At 43.0% G+C, this 23510-nt stretch overlaps 1 protein-coding gene across 4 annotated transcripts in view, besides 2 other annotated features; it reads right to left on the reverse strand.

Moving 5' to 3' along the window:
* ZNF704 (zinc finger protein 704) overlaps window positions 1-23510 on the reverse strand; it is a 255969-nt gene that overhangs the window by 64758 nt on the left and 167701 nt on the right. The gene's annotated exons all lie outside the window — the stretch shown is intronic.
* Window positions 5070-5571: an enhancer, noted in NCBI's record as "H3K4me1 hESC enhancer chr8:81610513-81611014 (GRCh37/hg19 assembly coordinates)". NCBI's record gives its function as "activates a minimal SCP1, AML or CMV promoter by ChIP-STARR-seq in primed H9 embryonic stem cells {active_cell/tissue: H9 hESC(primed)}" and the evidence as "EXISTENCE:reporter gene assay evidence [ECO:0000049][PMID:30033119]".
* Window positions 5572-6071: an enhancer, noted in NCBI's record as "H3K4me1 hESC enhancer chr8:81611015-81611514 (GRCh37/hg19 assembly coordinates)". NCBI's record gives its function as "activates a minimal SCP1, AML or CMV promoter by ChIP-STARR-seq in primed H9 embryonic stem cells {active_cell/tissue: H9 hESC(primed)}" and the evidence as "EXISTENCE:reporter gene assay evidence [ECO:0000049][PMID:30033119]".

The following is a 23510-nucleotide window of genomic DNA, read 5'->3' on the forward strand; positions in this document are numbered from 1 at the left end:
CCATGAACAACCGATGTTCTGTTAGCTTTATTTTATAGATGAGGAAGCTGAAGCCCATGAAGTGAAGTGTTTCAGTCAAAGTCATACAGTATTAGGAAGACAAGGATTCCATCATCCATACTTCATCTAACAACTGTTCATTGAGAGTGTGCTGTGGGCTAGACTCTGTTCTAGCCACGAGTGATATGAGGTGAACAGCAGACAAGGTTCTTGCTTTCATGGAGCCTAGAGGACGGTGGGAAGCAACACACTTATCAGGAAACAAACAAGCTAGGAGGAACAAAGTCATTTCTGATAGTGACAAGGGCTATGAAGCGCATAAACAGGCTAACGTGACAGTGCCTGCCTGTAGGGGCTGCATCTAAGGTGATCAGATGTTTCTCTGAGGCAGTGACGTCTGAGGTGAACTGTGAAGGTCAGGGAGAGTCTGTCCTGAGGGGCAGGGAAGTACATCCCAAGCAGAGGCAGCAGCCTGCAGAAAGGCATGGCAGCAGGAATGTGCGGGAATGTTTAAAGGCTGATCCTAGAGTGTGAGAAGGGGAGAGCGGTGCAGAGCTAGTCAGACGGGGTCCAGTGGCCATGGAAGGTGTTTTAATTTTATTCTAAGTGAAATGGGAAGTCCCTGGGAGGCTTTAAGCAGGCCTAGTGAAGTAATATGATGAATATTTGTAATATAATTAGCTGAGCTGCTATATGGAGAATGGATCTTAGAGAAGGTAGAATAGAAGGAGGGAGGCCACTTAGGAGATGACTGCTAGGAGTCCAGGCGAGCTTGGACTAGGGTGGGGACAGTGGCAGGAGACCCAGCAGGACTGGCTGATGCACTTGGACATGGGAGATGAGCAAAAGGGAGCGAGGAAGGCTGTCAGGTGTTGGCTGAAGCACTAACTAGAGCCATTTACTGAGATGGGAGAGGCTGGAGGAGAAATGCAACTAGGGGTGTTTGAACTCCTGAGCTTTAAAAAAATTTTTTAAAACTACTTACTATAGAAAGAGTAGGTCATGGGAATAGTTACCATGTTGTTAAAGTGAAGAGCCACTGGTAATCATTCACTGAGATGAAGAGGTTGCTCTGGTTCATTAATTTTGGCCAGTTAACCCTGAATAAAGGTTCATAAGATTATGATCATGGTGACCGGAGTCAACTTGTTTAAGCTTATTTCAATAAAGGAGGTAAAATTGAGAGGCAAAAGTTTGTGTCGTACGATGAAATCAAATAAATTGTACCACCTCCTGAGAGACGAACATTTTCAAATTAGAGAACAGTTGAAGAAGCCCAACAGAGGATTAATAAGCCATATCCACAAATGAATTGTCACTTTGACAAATGTGGCTTTCATTCACAGGTGTGCTGTCTAATTTGTAAAAGCAATGAACTCTTAGAGATAGAAACTTCATAGCACTGCTTCACAAAACAGTGGGAAGAGAAATTCTTAAATTGGAGAAAAAAACAAATGGTTCCCAATTATTGGGGGGCTGCTCAATTAATTTCATCATGAAGTTACAAAAATTGTTACAGTTTGGCTCTCTGATGTCCACCCATGATACTAAATTGTTAAACAAAGCCTATTCTTTCAATCCAAGGTACCAACAGATGGAAATCTTTGAAATTTTCTTCAATAATTCTTCTCAAAGCACCTTATGCTCTTTTTTAGCAAATTCTTCTATCAAAAGACAAATTACTTGTTTCAGAGGCTGACAATTAAAATACTTCTGTAAAACAAGCTTAAGAGTGCACAATGAAATCCACTCCATACAAAGTTTTCAAGACAACCTCATACACTTAGAGGCAAAAAAAACTGTTCATTCATTTGGCATACCATTTAAAGATTTTACAGTATTCACAGTTTACAAGATCCCTGTACTTGGGAGTAAAGGTAAAGCCATTTTCTTAAAACAGACAAAGCCTCTTGAAATGGCACCAGGGAAAGAATGCAAAGCACCTTCAGGTAATTCTGAGTGTTTTGTTGGCTCAATCTGCCCATGTAACGCTGGTCACAGAAGGGATAAGTTGGGGCTTGCTGCATATCCACTAATCTACCTTGGGGCTCCTCCAACTGTCTGCCCTTCCCAGAGCCCAGCTCCAGGATCACCCAGAGTGGGGCACACCTGAGCTGGCTGCTGCCCACATCTCTTCCAAGACTGAATTAGGAGGGCTGTTGACTTCTCTTTCCAACGGCCAGTCCACTTTTATTCCCTTACTAACCAAAGGTTTAAGAACCAGGATAGGAGGCCCGTGCACCTGGTATAGGTGGATGACATGATTTGGTAAGGAGAGGGTCCCCTCGCCCCCTCCCCTGATTCTTACAATGACTTGCTAAACAACCTTTTTCCGTCTTCTACATCTTGGTTTCAGGGACCTTTTTGCCCCTCTCTCAATCTGCTTTGTATCTTTTTTGATTTTCCACACCTAAGGTGAACATTTTGCTTTAGAGGTCTAATTGATAATTAACTCAAATACTGATTTATGTGTTTTTTAAAATATGACAATCAATACAGAATGCATCATTATAAAATATACATTTATTTTGCATTGCGAAAATCTACCACATTTCAAAATAATTATTGAGCATCATAAAGAGATTTACAATGAAGAATGAAAAAAGGAATAATTAGTATAATCAGAGTGTTTTTGGATTTGGATTACCTTTAAGTTTCCTGCTGGCACTGGAAATCACTAACAACAACAACAAAGTCAAAGGAATACATCACAATGACTCAGTTAACCTGCATTTCTCAGGGAATATTTTAATCATGCTACATGAAACATTACCAGATGATATGGCCTTGTGCTAAGTTGTGTTTTTGTTTTTATCTTTGTTTAATTTCTTTTGGTACACTACTATCTAATTACTGATTAACTGGTACTGTAAATTCAAATCCTTATAATTAAACATGAAGAGATGATATACAAAGTAGAATTTGTTACACTTTGAGAAAACTGCTGCAAAGCCCTTCTGGTAGATTTGGAGTTATTGATAAAAAACAAACCACTAGAGGTGATATTAAATATTCTCTCCTAATTTGAATTTCAATCTACAACTTAAAACCTTAAGACTCATGTTTGCTAAAGGCTTTTACCTTTTCAATTAATCTTTCCTCCAGCCATACTTGAATAGTATGGGACTTAAATTTGGAATTATTTAAAAATACAGGTTGAGTATTCCTTATCCAGAATGTTTGAGACCAGAAGTGTTTTGGATTTCAGATTTTTTTTGTTTTGTTTTGAGATGGAGTCTTGCTCTGTCACCCAGGCTGGAGTGCAGTGGTGTTATCTTGCCTCACTGCAACCTCCACCTCCCGGGTTCAAGCGATTCTTCTGCTTCAGCCTCCCGAGTAGCTGGGATTACAGGCATGTGTCACCACCCTCAGCTGATTTTTGTATTTTCAGTAGAGACGGGGTTTCACCATGTTGACCACGCTGGTCTCAAACTCCTGACCTCAGGTGATCTACCTGCCTTAGCCTCCTGAAGTGCTGGGATTACAGGCGTGAGCCAATGCGCCCGGCCAGATTTCTTTGATTTTGAAATATTTGCATATATATAATGTAAGATATTGGGGATGGGACGCAAGCCTAAACACAAAATTGATTTATGTTTCATATACACCTTACCCACGTAGCCTGAGGTAAGTTTATTTTACCCTAGGGGACGCTGAACAAACTGTGTGTTGTGTGACTGTGACTTGCTGCATGAGGTCAGGTGTGGACTTTTCCATTTGTGGTGTCACGTTGGTGCTCAAAAAGTTTTGGGCTTTGGAGTGCTTCAGATTTCAGATTTTGGAATGAGAGATACTCAATCTGTAACAGAAGTATTCGTTGTCACTCTATACATGATTTGTTCCTGAAGCTGACCTGGCTTCTGTGGATGAACAGGATTTCAAGATGGGAGAAACACATCAAGGAAGGGAAGCCGGTGAGCCCTGGGCTTACTGGGAGACTACTCAAGGGTCCTACGTGAGGGATGTGGTGGAAAAGGAGAGCAGAGCCTGAGCCAGACTATGGGGGTGTGTGTGCCAGGATGAGTGGTTTGTTGTATTCCTATAAGCAAAGCGCATCCATGGAACATTCATGAACCCGGGAGTAAGGTGATCAATCTGTATTTAAGAAATGAGTGAAAATGGAAAATTTAAGGAAAGGGAGGAAATGGGAGGCAGGCTATTCAGCTGTTTTTAGTAAAGTCTCATTTCAACCTCAAAGTATTAGATTAAGAGGGACACTGCCCCTCCATGCAGCGATACTATTCAGTCTGTGAGTACGGACCTTCCTGGATTTCTGCTGAAGCTGTGTTCTGGACCTCTCCAGGAGAGGCAGCAACGGTAATGATTAAGAGTTTAGGCTCCAGAATGAGTTAGATAATGTGGCTTCAGATCCACTCTCTGCATTACCACCTGTGTGACCTTGGGCAAATTACTTAAACTCACTGTTTCCTTATCTGTAAAAGAAGGATAAACATAGACTTGTTGAGAGGGTTAAATGAGAAAAGTATATGAGCACCAGCATGAGCCTCAGCCACAGTCAGAGTTCATGTTATCTCAGCTATTACTAACCTTCCAATTCCTGACTACATCCATAGCGTGTGTCCTCCGTGAGGGAGGAGAGCATTAGATGACTTCACTTGCTTTTCTTGTTCAGCACCAGCACTAGCAGTTGTGGATTTTCTTTTTGTAAGGCAGGTATATTATTTTTGATAATGAAAAGACTGCTATAACTCTGTAAGAGCTGGCAACTGGCTCATGGAGAAGCAGCTGCTGGTCCCTCACTAGAGTTTCCAGTCGGTGCTTTGGCAAAGATACTGCTCATTACATAATGAGTCTTGGCCAGACTGTCCACAAATAGAAAAGCCTAGAGTGCTTGTTTGGATTCTACGTTTAAGAGTTTATGCTTTCAATACTCACTCTTGGAGCACTAGGGCTGTGCTAGACAGGAGAATTAACAGTCTTTGTAAAAATGAACAGTCTCTACCCTCTTCAGCTGCGGTCTATTGGAGAACTAGACCTTAATCAAACACACACACAAATAAACATAAACTTACAAATGTGATAAATGCCAGGAAGAGTACTATTGATTTGATGAGGACCAACCTAGGTACTTCTAGCTAACAGGAGAACAGGGCTGAGACTGGAAGTGAGTATGGGTGTTGCCTCAGAGGACAGAAGAGCTTTTGGGCAGTGGAAGAGCCAGGGCAAGGCTTCCTTTAAAAAGGAAAGGGAAGACTGAACATGAAGTGCAGTGTGCTTGGGAGGGGCAGCCCAGGGAGGGCCTTCCATGCTCTATAAGGGCTTTATCCTTATCTTAAAGGCCCTGGGAAGCACTGAAGTGTTTCAAGTGGAATGGGGTTGGGAGAGGTTGGGTAAGGTTGGGGTGATGCTATCAGATTAGCTTTTCAAAAAGCTCATTTTGGCTGCCGTGTGGAAAATGAGTTTCTTGGGTTTGACAACCAATCTTTTATCTGAGGAATTGATTGTCTGATGACTGTGGCAGCAGGTTGCAGAATGACATCATCTACTACATGAAGAGGCAATCAGCGCAGTGCGCAGCATCAGCAGAGGCAGCCCGGCCAGGTCTCATGCATGGGTGGGTGTGGCTGGTCTGCCCTTGAGCGCTCAGCTATGGCCTGTGCTTACAAACCCAGCTATTGTTTGTGCCGCAAGAAGCCTTTTCCTTCTTTTGAGCCACTTCCTGCCTGAATACTGCCTGCTTGGAGGGTGCACATAAACACTGTCTCCTGTGACTAGCTAAGGGAGAGATGTTTTACACCTTGGAGAGCCATAAAAGACATTTATCGGCAATTAAAGTGCTATAGTAACAAATGGAAGTAAAAATGAATAATATATTCCTTAGATTAGCACTAATCTAGTTTCTTAGCAACTATTGAAATCTGCTGTCTAGACCAAGTTCAGTCACTTTTAAAAACTTGTGATATTCTTAAAATAAGGAATAATGTCTGAAAATAAAATCTTTTACTGGAAAGGCTATAATAATCATCCCCAATCTTGGAATTCTGAGAAAGCTTTTACTAAGAGTTTGGAAAACTGGATTCAGTAACTATTAAATATAAAGCACAAAACTTCATTTCCATTTTGAAGAAATCTTGTAGAAAAAGTGGTAAATGTTAACTCTTCCGAATTAATTTTAGCTGCTATTTCTTTTAAGACTATAGGGAAGTCAGTATTCATCAAAATTGATGGAAAAAGAAAAAAAAATCAAAGGGAAGATTAGAAAGCTGCCTATTGCAATAAAGTGTTCACTGGCCTGGATCGAACAAGATGGAAAATTAGAGTGAATACATCATAATACATAAGGCAATATACACCAGTACATCTGAAGCCATCTGTGGTGAAGGGTCATTTTTAAGAAATTTTTAATATGTCATGGATCGATACTATACAAAAAAACTATGGCCTGTGGAAAATTTCTGCACCCCTTCCTCTTAATTTCTGTACCTGGCTCAACATGGCTGTAACAAAGAGCTTGCAGACTGGCACTGGCCCATGGTCCACACTTTGAGTAGCATGAAGCTAGGCAGTTGCTTTAATTTCCATTAAACTTTGAAAAGACTCCCTCCTGTCCCTCTTTCTCCCGCTTTCTGTTCTTGCCTCATGGACCCTCTACAACTTCTCTCCCCACCCACTCTGCCCACTGGACCCTATGTTCCATTGCAAATTGACCCTTGCATGACCTCACCCTCTCCCCTTTTACCATACCCAGGCTCTCCCTTGTAGGTCACTCCTCCTTTCCACTGGAGTTACTCATCCCTTTACCCCCAGTGAGGTCAGGTGGGGTGTGGGCCTTTCATCTGCCTCCCTTAGGAGACCATCTCCCTTCACCCACATGCAAAAGCTCCTGGTTCTTTGAGGCACAGGCCATGCACTTATCTTGTTCTCTTTTCTATTTCAGGCATTGACCTTCCTGTCAGGACCTCTCTCCCCTAATATTCATAAAATACTTTGGCACATAAATTACAGCCTTTTTTAAATTGCTTGGAATTATAATCCTAGGAGATATACTGAAGTTAGCCAATATCCTAACTTCGTAACTTCTGTCTCCTTAACCCACCACCCCCAGCCAACATTCAGCAGAGTGCTGAGCTGGAGAGAAAAGACGTTGCAGTCTGACAGACTGCAGTTTAATCCCCAAAACCTCCATTTATTAGTGAGTGCTTTTAGGCAAATCTTGCAGCTTCACAAAACTTCAGATTCCTCATCTGTAAAATGGAAATGACAATAATACAGACCTTAGAGGGTTTGGAAGAGTTAAATAAGATGTGTAAAATATCTGGCATATACTAAACACTCAAGTTATTATTATCCTCCTCTTTTACCTAAAACTGTTATTTCAGTGAACGATTCTCAGGTTAAAAACCTGAGTTCTACCTATTTAAGTATTTATAGGTGAAATAACATGAAATCTTGGATTTGTGTGAATATACTGCAGCCTCCCACAACCCCTTCCTCAAAAGTGTGAGTTGGGGGTGATTAGATGAAGTAAGATGGACAAAATGTTAACAATTGTTGAAGCCAGGGAATGGGTACTGAGGGAATCATTAGACCATTCTCTCTCTATCTGTGTAGATTTGAAACTTCCATAATACGATTTAAAACAAGAATACAGCATGAGCACACACCTGGATTTTGGCGGTCACTTGCCATTGCCCCACTTCAACTCCCCCCTCCCCTTTTCTGTCTAGCTCTACTCTCTGTCACTGCATCTGCTCCTCCATCTCCCAGAGACAGCCAGTCTCTGGATTTCTCCTTTCCTCCTAGGCAGTTAGAGGCTAGTACTTCTGACCTAGAACAGCTTGCTGCTGGCTACTGCTTCCCTCCCGCCAGGTCCACTGGTGGCTCAGCGGGGTTCTCCCTTTACCAGCATCCCTGAATCCCTGGCCTTGCTAGCCTTCTGCTCCACTGGCCCAGAAGAACCAAACCCTGGCTGAATCCTCCTGTGCTGCTCTTTACTGTCCACCTCAGGGCAGTCAGTGCTGATGGGAAACAGCGAATGACTCTGCTGGCCGGGCCCATCCTCGGCACGCATCCTACCTGCACTTGGCCTCAGCAGGCCCTTCACCCGCCCTCGCTCACCACAACTGCCCGCTTCTAGCCAGGATTCTGCCTTATCTTCACCTCTCTCTGCAAGGCTCAGCTCCTGCCAACCCAAGCAGCAGACGCCCTTTCCTCCTAGATTATAGAGAGAATTGAGGCCTCTAGGCAAGGTCTTTGTCACATTCTGCCTTTCTTACCTTCTTGCTTCAGTCTCGCAGGGAGGTTAGCATGGTATTTTGCTTTTTGAAGCCACTGCCTCCACCTGTGCTGTCTTTATCCTCCTTCAACAAGACCTCCTCTCTCCTGTTCCCACTGGCCCTTCTCTATTAATAGGCTTCTGTTTTCTCCCCACTTACATGCAAGGGACCAAACAGGACTGGACAGAGAGATAGGAAAGAAATGAGGAGAGGAGTCCAGTGATTACAGATACAAGAGGGAAGAGAGGGAAGAGAATTTCAGGAAGAACAGGTTGACAGCATTAAGTGATGTAGAGAGATCAAGCCAGATGAGGACAGACAGGGAATTTAACTTAATTCCCTTGAAATTAGCAGCAAGGAAGCAGGTAGAGACTCTAGCAGGAGTGGAAGTGGACTGCTGTGGGTTGTGGGGTGGATGGAAACTGGGAGGTTGAGAAATTAGAGGCAGTCATTGTAGAGGACTCTTAAAGAGCTTGGCCATGAAGGGAAGGGAAACATGGTTCTTTGAGGAAGTTAGAGTGTTTTCCTGTTTGTTCTTCAGATGAAAGGAACTCTAGCATATTTAAATGCTGACAGGAAGGAGCTAGTAGGGATGAATAGGTTGAAGATACAGGAGAGAAGGGATGAGGAATGGACAAGGTCTTTACTGGGGCAGCATGATGAGGGTCCTGGGCTCCAATGGAAGTAGCTTTAGACAAAAGGAGGAACAACCACCCCGTCTACCTGGAGTGAGGAGAACAAAGATGGGCTGGGTGCAAGCATGCTTGTAGGTGTGGGGCTGGGGAAGCTGATGCTTCTCTCTGGAGGTCTCTCCTCAGAAGCAGGTAGGTTTCTCTGTGGAGAGTGGAGAGGACATTGCCATGCTTAAGGTTTGGAATTGCTGTTATGGGTACTGGGAGAGAAAATGGAGCAGGACACCAAAAGTCTATCAAGCAGCAACCGAGGCTCAGCTGAGGTTAGAAAGCTTGATCCTGTTGTGATGGTCACTGGAGAGGGGGTCTGATGGCTGTGCCAGAAGCCTGGGGTGGGAGTGTGAGAGGAGGCTGCTGGACTAGCCCTATGCCAGGTTTTACAGTGAGTAAGGGCATGGAGAGTGCAAGGTTTTGGAGAGAGAGCCATAGGTTCTTGGCTGGACTGGGCAATGTGTGAAGGTTGGAGGGAAAAGATGGGGACAAATTGAGAGAAACCAGAGATCTTGATGGGGTCAAAATCAGGTGCCGAGGACACAAAAGCGAAGGCGAGATGGAAGACCAGGAGGTTATGAGTAGGAAGGAGATACTGGGGATGGAGATTTTCTATGTAGAAAAATTCTGAGAGATGGCCGAGTCCAAGGTATGGCCGTGGGAGTAGAGGGCAGAGGCAGGGCAGAGGTGAAAGTCGCTGGATCGGAAATGGCGAGGCTGATGTCATCCGGGATGATGGCAGCATTGAGGAGAGAAAAGTTGTGGCCAGGTGGCTCAAGCCTTCCATAAAGGGCAAATGAGCAGGATGTCAGCAGAGTTAAGGAAGCGGGAGGTGGAAGAAGCCTTCAAGCAGCAGGGCTTTACCTGAGAGTGGAGGGCAAAGGCTTGGTAACAGCCGCGGGGACACAGAAATTCACTCTTGGGAGGCTCCCCATTGCCCTCACATGAGACTTAACTCCAATGCAGGAAACACCTGGCCCTCTCTGCTCTGGTCTCCCGACTCTCTACCCATTTTCCCACAAGTCCTCTGCGGGGCAACTCTTCCAACTCGTGAAAATTCTCCATAAGAAGACTCACTTTCTCCTCTCCATACCTGTGAATAAGCTGTGCCCTCTGCTTGGAACAAGCTTTCTTCTCTTTCTGTGCTTGCCTGCTTCTACTTACCCTTAGTACTCAGCTCCATCCTGCTCCTGGAAGCCGCCTTCCACCTGCCAAGGGCCAGGGGCACTGACTGCTGTGCTGTTGTTAGACTGCCTGTGCTTCCTCCTCCTCCCCATGCGAAGATCAGGGCTTAGTCTTGCATCTTTTTATTCCCAACTTCTAGCACAAACCCTTGCTTAGGGTAAGTTTTGTTTTTGTTTGTTGAGGCAGGGTCTTGCTCTGTCACCCAGACTGGAGTGCAGTGGTGTGAACATGGCTCACTGTAGCTTCCACCTGCAGGGCTCAAATGATCCTTCTGCCTCAGCCTCCTGAGTGGTTGGGACTACAGGCAAACGCCACCATGCCCGGCTAATTTTTTAAGTTTCTGTAGAGACGGGGTCTCACTATGTTGCCCAGGCTGGTCTCAAACTCCTGGACTCAAGTGATCCTCCTGCCTCAGCCTCCCAAAGTGCTGGGATTACAGGCATGAGCCACTGTGCCCAGCCTTGGAGTAAGTTCATAATGAAGGTTTTGTGGACAAATAAGCATTAAGTAAGGATGGTGACAGTCCCGGAGAAGTGGCAGGGGGAAGCATAGAACACGTATCTGAAAAACTTCTGCAGTTCTCCTCTGCTCACTCTCTTTCATCTTGTCAGACCTGGTGACTTATTTGTTTCCTCTTGTGGAAGACAATTCCTCAAAAATTCAAGTATTAAATAAATCGTTCATAGGATTTTTTTTTTCCTTTTTACTGGCCCTAAAAATTGTTGGCTTATCTAAGCAAATGGATTTTGTTCCAGTGTCTGTGATAATTCTTCTATATTCACAAAGGCTCACAGACACATCAGTGAACTCTAGAATGTCAGCAATAACATTATTAAATAATAAGTTTCAAATCCCCTGAAAATAATTCTGTGTGATTAGCTGGACTTCTTGATGTGAGCAGGCTGCAAAGCACAGCTCAGGGAGGCATCTCGAACATTCCTTGATGGCCTTTTTGCTTTGTAGGTTTAGCGCTTTTGATTGCAGCCAACATTTTCTCCCAGGAGTCACAAGGCCAGTCTTAAACTAACAGAAAGCCCTCTGTGTGCATGTTGAGTGCCTGTCATATTGTGAAATAGATATTTTGTTTTCCTCCATCCCTGTCTCCTGCTGTACAACTCCTAAAATCCTTGGAATCTCCAGTGATAGGCATCTTTTTGTATGCTAACGAGATGACTGGTGGCAGGCAGCTTCTATGTTGCTTCTGGATGGTGCCAGTCACAGGAAAGACCAAGCCAGGATTAGAGGGTTGGACTTCCGGGCACCGACCCCGACCCCAACCTCTGGGGGTGGTGGGGGAAAGGGCTGATCACCAATGGCCAACGATTTACTAAATCATGCCTACATACAAAGCCTCCATAAAACCCAAAAGGACAGAGTTTGGAGAGCTTCCAGACAGCGGGACAAGTGGAGGTTCCCAGGGGGAGGTGCCCCCAGGAAGGGCAGAGAAATGCCACACCCCTTCCCACATGCTGTGCCCTACACATCTCCTCATCTGTATCCTTTATAATAACCTTCATAATAAACCAGTAAATATAAGTCAGTTTCTCTGAGTTCTGTGGGCAGCTCTAGCAAATTAATCAAACCTGAGGAGGGTGTCCTGGGAACCCTGATTTATAGCCAGTTGGTCAGAAGCACAGTAAAACAACCTGAAACAACCTGGGGCTTGGGACTGGCATCACAAGTGGGGAATTCTTGTGGGACTGACACTTCTTCAGGTAGACAGTGTCACATTTGAATTGGAGGACACCCCCCTGCAGAACTGGTTGCTTGCTTGATGTATGGGGAAAACTCCCACACATTTGGTGTCAGAAGTGTGTTGTGGGAGTGCAGTGGGAGAGCCTGAGCGTTTACCCCTGAATTCTCAAGAGCTCCCTTCTGGGACTGCCACTGAGGCTGCATATGATGAAAAAAGACCAGAGGGAACACAGCAAATTCCTGAATTTATTTGGATAGTGTGTGTTTTGTGTGTCTCTGTGTATGGGTGTGTGTATATCTGCGTCTATGTCTGTGTGGGTTGGTGTCCTGGGTGTGTGTTTCTGCACAGTTGTGTGTCGGGGCCTTGTGTGTGTGTGTCTTGGTCCTTTGTGTATGTGTGTCTGTCTGTGTTTGTGTTCATGTGGGTTGATGTCCTGGGTGTGTGTCTCTCTCTGTGTGCACAGCTATGTGTGTCTGGGTCCTCTGTGTGTGTGTGTGCATGTGTATCTCTGCATTTGTATCTATGTGGGTTGGTGTCCTGTGTGTGTGTCTGTGTGTGTGTTTCGGTCCTGTGTGTATCCGTGTATGCATTTGTGTGTGTGTGTGTCAATCTCCGTGTCTGTGTGGGTCAGTGCTTCTGTGTGGACTTGGGTGTGCTCTGTGCATGGAGGAGGAGATGAGGGAGTGGGAGGTGGCTGTGCCGCAGACCCTGTCTCCTGCCCTGTCTCTGGCTGCCAGGGCAGCCAGCCTCTTTCTTCTAGCTCTCTGGGATGGCAAAGTCCTTGCTTGCTTCTTTGCACCCACTAAATATGAGCTTGCTACTCAGTCATGGCCAAAGAAAGGCTATCAAACTCTGGAAAGTGCTCTTGATTGTTGCAGGAAGCTGCTGGCTGGGCTGCATTTAGCTGGACTGCTGTCTGTCCAGGCTGTCAACCAGTCACTCCTGGAGTCCTGGGGAGCACCTCATCCAGCAGAGCCTGTCGTATGTGCAGGGGCGGCATGGCCCAGGCTAATGGGGTTGAAGTACCCTGTGTCATTTGGGAAGTCTGCAGGTTAACGATCCGCCTGGTAAATGTCACGATTATTCTCAAGAAGAAAACTAATCAAAGTTGCACCTCTCACTCTTACGTCTGTGTCCATTTTGAGTCATTCCAGGCTTACTGATGGGGTTAAGTATGTTATTGCTTGGAGCCTCAAATCCACTTAAGCCCCAATAATGTAAAGAACTTCCAGCTACATTTTCATGGTGATAGCAGTTATTTCATGAGGGCAATTAGGAGAAAACAAATCCAGCATTTTCTTATTTTACAATGCAAGAAAAATAAGGTGATTTTTTTCCCTAGTTTTTTTTTTAATAGAAAAAACAGATTTTAAAAAGACCAGACTTCTTATTTCTGCTGCTTCTCTTACCTGAAATAGTATCATCATTATGTTGGCAACAGACTGAAACATGGGCTAGAAGTGACAGTTGTAGCTATTTTACCTTTTTGTTTTTTCAAAGAGAGAAGACTCACATCATTCCTAACAGAGCCACCCATATTGGGCTCCCCAGGAGCAAGGGGGGATGTGTCTCCCCTCAGAGAGCAGCTGTGGAGCCATCCTAGCTTGTGTGCCACAAAGGCAGTGGGGCCTGGGCTCTGGGTAATGGCCTTGCCCTTCAGGAGCAGCTGCTCTACTTGGACAGAGAAATGAAAGACTCAAGTCAAGTGGGCTAATTTGCTGAGATGCTTTAGGCTGAGAGTTATTCAGAGTTTTTCATTGTAACTTTAAATTTTGGTTTATTTCACCTTCAGCCTGTCTGGGACCTGCCTGCAGATTTCAGCCACTTCTGGATACACCTGGGACAGGGCTGATACCTCCACTGTCTTACACTGTGAAGAGCGGGACAAACCGATGAGTGACAGACTACTGAATCAATCCCCTTTTAAGCTGCTTAAGTTCCAGATTTAGTTTTAAAGAGAAAAAAAATTGTCATCTTTTTAAAAAAACTGCATCTTCTTTCTCCTAATAGCTAATATTTATTGAGCATTCATGACACGTATACACTATTTTAAACTGCCACTGTGGGTTGATGTCACTCCCCCATTTTATAAACATGGAGACTTTGGTAACTTTCTAACAGTACTTGGCCAGTCAGCCAGGCCTGTGCTCTTCAGAGGCGCAATGGGGTCTTTATACTACACACTAATGCTGTTTGCATGACCATCCCTATCACTTTGTTTTTAATTTAAGACAAACATGTAATTTCCTATAATTGAAATATATATGTGAACTAAATGCAATTCCTTTTAGGTCATACATTTAAAATTATGTTATAATGAAAAGTATTTCCTTTATAATATAGAGGTGGGTCCACATTAATGAGAACATAATATATGGATTATAGGCCGACTACTCATTTAAAAAGAGTGTTTTGCTTTCAAAAGGATCTCTGTGGGTTTTCTTTAAATAGTATTCTTATAATATATCTAAAATGTTTTGAATAATTAAATTTCAATTCAACTCATATACTCAAACTCTAACCTCTACACTGACACCTGTTCTGTGTTATTAGGTTGAACCATATGAAATTGTGAGTCTTCATTAATCTTTTTGTCTATAAAAATGGCAATTTCATATGGTTCAGCCTGATATTTGTGCTAATTCAAATACTATTTATCTTTTGTTTCACAGGTCAGAAGTGAACCAGTTTATTCTCATTTAAATTCGATTGTTTCAATCAATGAGCCAGACAATGGTTCTCTTTTCTAGGGTGTGTATAGTCAATAGTTTTATTTCTGGAGCTGGCTTTTATTGAAGATAATCTTCAATACTATTAATTCAAGCAGGCCTCAATTCAGTAATACCTACCATGCACAAAATATTGCTTTACGCAGAATTCCTTGCTCCAAAGCTTGTCAGTGCTCTTCATAAGACACTTGGAGTGTCCAAATTTGGGGAAATGGGTGGAAGCACCTATGTTGCCGTCTGGAGGATTCTCATACACACATAACATTACTGGCTTTATTTCCTGTGTTCTTTTATTTATATTTTAATTGCATTACCAATATATGTTTCTGTCAGTTCATACAGCTCTTATTTGATGACTGATCAATTTGAACTTTCAATATAGGTATCCTGTCCCTAGAAAACGGTAATTCTGTCATTTAAAAATTTGTTCGTAATAGATCTAAGCACTATGAAATCAAATCTATTTATTGAATATCCACAGGCTGGACAATTGCACACCTAGATACGTATACTCCGTGCTCAAGGAACATGACTTCCCCAAACGAATAAGCAGAAGAATCTGATACAGCCAGAAACACAATGCAGAGTTTACCGCTGGGCATAACAGCAGATCAGTAACATGGCTGGGTGGCTACTGGCCAGGGCATATCCAGTTTCGTGTAATAGGAGGTGGATGAATACAGGTTAGTAATGCCAAACAGGGCTTAGGCAAAAGCCAAGTGAAGTCCACAGTCCAGAGAAAGCAAAGCATTTGCAGCTACTATTTAACATTTCTTCTGAAAACAATACACGTGGCTTCTAAGCCTAGGATGCTGGAATTAATATTTAATGTGGAAAGCATTGCTAAAAGTGATTGTATAGCTATCAGGTATAAATAATAATTTCCACCTCTGCTAATAATTTGTAGCTCATTTAGGTTGTCATACTTGTGTAGCAGCAGTTTATAGGCGCACTTACTGTAATAGCATGTTGATTCAACTATGTTGGAATTACTCATTCAATCTATCTTCCAGTTCTACACTATTATGAAGTTCTAAATATTTCGAATACTAATAGGCCTCTATTAGTCAACAGCTCAGTGGCTACCTATCTGTCTTCTTTCCTTTTTTTTTTTGTTTTGAATTATTAGGAAGGCTGATTAAAATCAACTTTCCACATACTTCAAGTGAACCCATGAGCTTATGATAAGGAGTTAGCAAGCACATAGACCACAGAACTGGGATTTACTTGGAATTTGATGGGAAAGTAAGCCAACTAAAAATTATTATAAAAATATAGAGAAAAAAGTGTTTTCAATATGACACATCACTAACATTAACATTTCTCTTCCTACTTGGTATGTTATTTCTATGAAGGTTCATCTACCATAGACAGAAATAAGCACGTGCTTTCCTTTGTAAGTAGGAAAAACTTCTAAAAGTTCAGGCCAGGTGTGGAGGCTCACGCCTGTAATCCCAGCACTTTGGGAGGCCGAGGAAGGCAGATCACGAGGTCAGGAGATCAAGATCATGCTGGCTAACACGGTGAAACCCCGTCTCTATTAAAAATACAAAAAATTAGCCGAGCATGGTGGCGGGCGCGTGTAGTCCCAGCTACTCAGGAGGCTGAGGCAGGAGAATGGCGTGAACCTGGGAGGCGGAGATTGCAATAAGCAGAGATGGCACCACTGCACTCCACCTTGGCAACAGTGCGAGACTCCATCTCAAAAAAAAAAAAAAAAAAAAAAAAAAAAAAAGCAGTAATGGCATGTCAGTTTGACTCTTCCAAGAAGCAGACACCAAGACAGGATCAGTTCTATAAGGGACTTACTGGGGAAGGTGCCTATGAAGGATGGTGGAGTGAGAGCCAGAGAAGGCAGGGAGAGCCAGCCAGACCACCAGGCAGGTTTGACCCCTGTGAGAAAGGCAGGATTGGGTGGGAAGAACTTTGGAGTAGTTCTAAGAAAGTGTCAGCCCGAGGCAATGGGGCATCCTGAGAAAAGGTTGCCCATTAGAGGGCTCCTGTGTCAGGTAGGATAGCCTGCTCTACCGTGCTAGGACCTTGGAGAGGAGCAGCCCCAGGGAGGATGGCCTCGGTGGCTGCCGTGGATCTGAAGCAGCAGCAGCAGGAGGCTGTCCACCACCATGCTCCCCACAGTAGCAGCTTCGCTTGTAAGATATCAGGGGTGTACTTCCATCCCCTCCACAAGTGCTATTTCCTTTTGGTGATTATGTAGTTTTGTCCCTAGGATCTCATATCTTTCAAACAAAGCTCCAAAATCCCTGGGCTAGACATCTTTGCCAGCTTCCCTGAGGACCAGTTGTCTGCTTATGTGCTTTTCCTACCCAGCCTGGGTGGCACTTGCTGTCATGGTAAAGGGGAAAAAGATGGTCAGGTTAAATAAAGCCTCTGGGGTGACCTTCCTACCTCCTATCTTCCAGAACTGTTTGAGAGTCACTCCAATATTTGCCCAAGAGTTACCCTTATTAACCTGTTTAGGTTACAGTCCTACCAGGTCAAACCCAGGGTATAATCAACCTCTTTAAATAAATCATAATAGTAAACATCATGCAGCATTCCCTATTTGTCAGCCACTGTTCAGCCTGTATATTCATTAACTCAGTTACTCCTCTTAAGTCTATGAGGTCAATATTACTCTCTTCATTTTTTTAGGGATGAGGAAACAGCCACAGAGAGGTAAAGTGAAGTAAGTGGTGGGGTTTGGATTTCCACCCAGGCAGCTGGCACTACAGTATGTATGTGTTACGACAGTGATTCTATCTCCACAATATTCATATGTTGAAGCCCTACCCCTCGACATGATAGTATTTGGAGATGAAGTCTTTGGGAGGTAGTTAGGTTTCGATGAGGTCATGAAGGTAGAGCCCCCAGGATAGCATTTGTGTCTTATAAGAAGAAGAGACACCAGAGCCTCCTCTCTCTACCGTGTGAGGACACAGCAAAAGGTAGCTATGTGCAAGCCAGGAAGAGGACCTTCAACCAAAAACTGAATCTGCCAGGACCTTGATCTTGGACTTCCCTGCCTCTAGAACTGTGAGAAATAAATGTTGTTTATGCCACAAGTCTGATATTTTGTTATAGTAGCCTGAGCAGACTAAGACAGCGGTTTTCTGTTTTTATTTTATATTTGCTTGCAATCAGCTTTCTTAGGTTGAATAAGACAACATTTTTATCCAGTATACTGGGGAGGGAGGTTGGTAAGAATTAGGCAAGTAGAGAGGGTACCAGGCATGTGAGCTGCAGTTTCGCATAGGGCTAATTCTTCCGGGAGACAGGAATACCAAAAGCTGGAGGCCAGCTTGGTAGCAGGAGGCCCACCTGGGTGAGCTTGGGGTATGCTGTGGCATTGCAAATAGGCACATGAATCTCAGGCCTAGGCTAACATAGCGTTTCCTGACACCATCCTATGGTGGTTCCTACTGTACTTCCAGCCATAATTGTTTCAACAGCTCTGTATGTTCTAGCCTTCTAGTGACAGACATCAGAGGCTCTAGCTAAGCAGTCATAGGGAAAATGGACACTGACAACAGTCCCAGTGGCAGTGATGATTCTGACAGTAGCAGCAGTGGCAACAGGAGTCAATAGTGGCAAATGGCAGCGGTCTCATGGATATTGGGGTTAGTGATGTTTTTGTCACATCCACTAAGAATAGAGAAACCCACTATGAATGGGAGGTCAGGGGTAAACTCTGTATCAGGAAAGGAAAATGTATAGATACATGCAAAAAAATTTTGTATATTATTTCAGTGGGTTAACAGATTCTTTGAAATTGATCCATAACCTCCAGCAGGTTAAAGACTCACTGCTTTAAAGAAACTTGAGGGAGTACCTGTGGAGTTCAAAATATATAACCTGTCTTTAAAGGTCCTGTGATAAAGGACAGAACACCAGTGTGACTGTTTTATAAGGTTTTCCAGGGGATACGAGAAACTACCAACTACTGAGGCTCAGATTTTTTACTTTTTATGCTGGAGAAATTAAAAGGGTGGGGCCACAAAACACTAAGTGAACTACATGACTTCCATAAAAGCAAATTATGTCTGATTCATCTATTATAATTTTGAGGATGTAAATATGCATGTGGGAAAAGGGGAAGCAGTGAAGGTAATGGCTCACAGCACCCACTGTCTCTATCGATGCATAACTATAGTATCTAGCAGGACAGACCACAAACAACACCCAAAGCAATTCAAATTGTGAAAAGTAGTACATTGAAGGTAATCTCTTTAGTCTTTAAAAATGCCCTTAACAAATGCTCTGCTATGGTTTGAATTTGCTCCCCACAAAGTCCACGTGTTGGAAACTTAATCCCCAATGCAACAATGTTCGGAGGTGAGACCTTTAAGAGGTGTTTGGGTCATGAGGGCTCAGCCCTCAGGAATGGATTAATGCTGTTATTGTGAGAGTGGGTTAGTTATCCCAGGAGTGGGTTCCTGAGGAAAAGGACGAGTTTGGCCCTACTACCTCCCTCTCTTGTGTACTCTCTAACCATGTGATGCCTTCCGGCACTTTATGACACAGCAACAAGGCCCTCACCAGATACAGCCCCTCCATCTTGGACTTCCCAGCCTCCAAAACTGTAAGCCAAATAAAATTCTATTGTTTGTAAATACCCAGGTATTCTGTTATAGCAATATAAACCAGACAAAGATAGGCTCAATCTTATAGACTATTTTTTTTAAAAAGGGAATTAGCATGAAATTGAAGGAAACTTTCATAGAGAACCAGTTTAGAGACGGAGGGAAAGTGGAAATGAATGGGCACATCTCCCCAGAGACATGTCAAAAACTGAGTTCCTGTAGAACTGCTGCTTAGGATCATTTTATAAATGTTCTGGAGCAGGGCACAGGAAAATGTTTGGATCTGTTGATGATCCTGACTTCTCACCTGATGAGGATAGATTTCAGAAGATATTTTAAGATTATACTAAATGGATAGTATGTTGGTGTGTTTTAATGTGGGAAAATGTGAGGTAATGAATAAAAAAAAAAGTATCACCAGTGAGCCGAGATCGTGCCATTGCACTCCAGCCTGGGCAACAAGAGTGAAACTCTGTGTCAAAAAACAGAAAAAAAAGAAATTAGCTCTTTAATCCATTTTGAGTTAATTTTTGTAGATGGTTGAAGTAGGGGTTTTTTTGTTTGTTTGTTTGTTTTGGTTTGGTTTGGTTTTTTGAGACAGAATTTTGCTCTTGTTACCCAGGCTGGAGTGCAATGGCATGACCTCGGCTCACCGCAATGTTCACCTCCGAGGTTCAAGGGATTCTCCTGCCTCAGCCTCCTGAGTAGCTGGGATTACAGGCACCCACCACCATGCCCGGCTAATTTTTTATATTTTCAGTAGAGATGAGGTTTCACCATTTTGGTCAGGCTGGTCTCCAACTCCTGATCTCAGGTGATTCACTCGCCTCGGCATCATTTAAAAAATTAAATGACGTTAAAAAGACAATTCTTGAATTGTTTTGTCACCCTTGTTCACAATCAGTTGACTGTAATGGGAAACTCACTTCTAGTAATGATGTTGGATATTTGTTTTTCATACTGTTGACGTGTTACTGAGTTTATTGCCACCTAAATCCCCTAAGTGTTTCATAGGTGTTGCTGTTAAACCAAGTCTCCCCATCTTGCCCTTGTGCAGGTGGTAACTGCGGCTCGAATTATAGATTTCATCTTTATTCCTCTTAAATGTCACCTTTTCAGTTCAGCTGGTCATTCCACTAAGTTGGGAACTTTAGGATGTGGAGTCTGATGTCTTTTCCACGTTTGTATCATCTACATCTTCAGTTTTTCTTATCAGTCATAAAATATTTGATAAAATTCGTATCAGGCAACTTGAACTAAGTATTCATGAATAAGACAAGGCACCTGCCGTATGGAGGAAGCAGGGAGAAGAGAGATAATGCAGAAGTAAACTAATGAGCAAGATAACTTCAAATGGTGAGCTTCTTCAGCCACAGGTCATTCAGGGGAATCCCCTTAATCTACACATTTCTTTTTATAGCAATTATTTCTTCGCTGTCATCTTAGAAGCTGGCTGTGTCTAAATGTCATTGTTTAAGATTGATTTCAGCAAAGTGCTTCACTCTGAAATTGACCCTCCTTGTATCTGATGCTGACATCGAGTAGAATATCCTCTTCAGCACCCCTCAGGCATGCACTACAGGGATGGGTTGTTTTGGGTTCTAGAAGAATACACTGCAATCCTAAAATGATTACTTTAACTTGATACGTTACACAGGGCATGCTAACACTGCTGCTACTTTTTCCTGTATACTTAATACCAGCTGTCTTGGGTGTTGGTCCACATTCTTTTACCATCAGCTGCAGCATTATACACATGCTCTCCTTCTCCGTAACAAGCGCGATCTTGCAGAGAATTTGTAGAGCCAAATCAGAGTAACAGTTGACTTAGCAGGAAGTCCTACTGAGGCCAAGGGAAATGAAATGTACCAGAGGAAAAACCTTTTCCTGACTCTTGATCATCTCTTGAGATGAAAGTCTATCAATACTGATGAAAAGCAGCTGTATCCCTAGAGCTGAACACAATGCCTGACATGTAGCATCCAACAAATATTTGTTGAACGAAATGAAAGAATGAAAAATTCTGCACTATTCAAAAGTTTTGCCTCTTCTGAAGATTCTTGTAGTCATGAGACTCTTTTTCGAAAGTTCATTTGAGTATCAAACCTTCCTTTTTTTGTCTGATTTTGTTTTTAATTCCTTCTTGATCAATAAACCATTGACTACTACCAAGGCTCTGAGGTGGTATTAGAAACCTCCAGGAAGCTCTTGGTACCTCTAGGCAAGCATGAATCATTACATGGCATTACTGAATACTCTAATGATCTCCTCCTCCGGCCTCCTTTGTGTGCCTTTGATCTTTTCCTTCCTAGCTTCACATATTTACATTGGCAGTTTTCCTCAAGAAAAGATAGCTCAAAAATTGAATTTCTCTTAGCGACCATTAGTTTCTATTTGACTGATAAGTCACCTTCTAAGTGCAATTTTAGGTAACACACTGGTCCCATTTTAAGTCACATGGCGGCGGTAAGTTGGGGAGAGGGTGGCAAGAGGCAGGTAGGGCCAGGATTGTGATCTTTCAGTATAAATATTTTGTTTGGCACAAAATCACTCTATCACCACTAGTCTTTCTTTTCTGCCATTTTGCCTCCATGCATACAAGCAGAAGTCAGATTTAATATTCATCAATTCAACTGATTCCATGGAAACAATAGTGATTTCTAAGATTAAAAAGAATTATGGATCCATACTGATCACATTTCTTGGCTGCAAAAACCAAAACTCTGACCCATCAAATTAAATTACTCATTAAAATACAGGCCAAATAACTATACTCTGCATTCAGGTACTGATATCTATCAGATGGGACAGGGAATGAAATAATATTGCAAAAAAATAATTCACTTCCCCGTTTTCATGAGCAGAAATACAGGATGCATTTTCGGACACTATTAATGTATAAGCCCACACAAAATGTGAATTAAATTATTGCCCTTGTCCTTTGTTTTCAATGTAACACTACCTGAAATGGATGTATTTGCTGCTTCCCAAAGTGAACGTTTTATTCTTTTTCTTCTGAGAAAGATACTGAGATTCAACAGGGGGCTCCACAAGCCTCAGAGCAGGTTCCAGAGAGCTCAGTGCTTTGGGACAATATTCCCTGGCAGCAACTTATTTATGGCAGTGGTTTTGCTATTTGGATTGGACTGGCATATTCCTAAGCCCTCTGTATTGTGTCTTCCAATTTCTGTTTTGGGGATGTGAAGCTACGTGGGAGCATGAGGCCCAAGGAAGTGGGTGGGGCCAGAGGTTCCCTATTCTACTGCCCAGTCTTGCTTGTAAGATTGGTCTGATCCTGCATGTCTCAAAACTTCTTGCACATTAGACTCCTTTGGAGAACTTTAAAATATAACACAGATGCTCAGCTTCAACCCAGACTAATTAAATTAGAATCTCTGGGAGTGGGGCTGGGGCACTGATATTTTGAAAACTCTCCAGGAGACTCTAATACAAAGTCAGATTAAGAATTATTGAGTCTGGGCTGGGCGCCGTGGCTCATGCCTGCAATCCTAGCACTTTGGAAGGCCGAGGCAGGTGGATCACCTGAGGTCAGGAGTTTGAGACCAGCCTGGGCAACATGGTGAAACCCCATCTCTACTAAAAATACAAAAATTAGTTGGGCATGGTGGCTCATGCCTGTAATCCCAGCTACTTGAGAGGCTGAGGCACAAGAATCACTTGAACCTGGGAGGCAGAGGTTGCAGTGAGCTGAGATTGTGTCACTGCACTCCAGCCTGGGCGACAAAGTGAGACTCTGTCTCGAAAAAAAAAAAAAAGAATTATTGAGTCTGATTTAGAGATGAACAGATGGATCCCTCCTGACTCCTGTTCTACCAACACCTTTGGAGGGGCTCCCTTAACATTATCTAACTGCCTTCATCCTTCATCATAGACACCACGTACAGGAGCATTAAATCAAGTCATATGACATATTGGAATTATGGGAGTTAACTTCAAAGGCCTTGGTGCTCACAGGTCAAGAAACATTTGAATTTTCTCCAACACTTAGCAGGATCAATCTTCTGCCCAGCCTGCTTTCTAAAGCACTTCTTTCTCTTGATAGGGTCAAAGGAAATCAGGTCACTTAAACAGAAATCAGCAACTCACAAAAGGAATCATAGTTCATCTGTGACCCTCTATCCTTGGATCGTCCCAAGACATCTCTTAGCCTTCTAGCACCTGGAGCCCAAGTCATTTAAAAGACATTTACCATTCCTAAACATTATAACTGATACTGACTGTGCATAGGAAGCTTATGATGTCAGGATCTGATCTACAGAAAGTTTTTGGATAGATGTCTAATTGCATGTTCAGAAAACTTCTAATACATGTTAAGTCCTTTAAACTGTTTTTGTTCATAACTTAGCAAGTTCAAGCAAAATAGTTCCATTTTTGGCACT

Source organism: Homo sapiens, chromosome 8 (assembly GCF_000001405.40).
Source record: "Homo sapiens chromosome 8, GRCh38.p14 Primary Assembly".
Classification (NCBI taxonomy): Eukaryota; Metazoa; Chordata; class Mammalia; order Primates; family Hominidae; genus Homo; species Homo sapiens.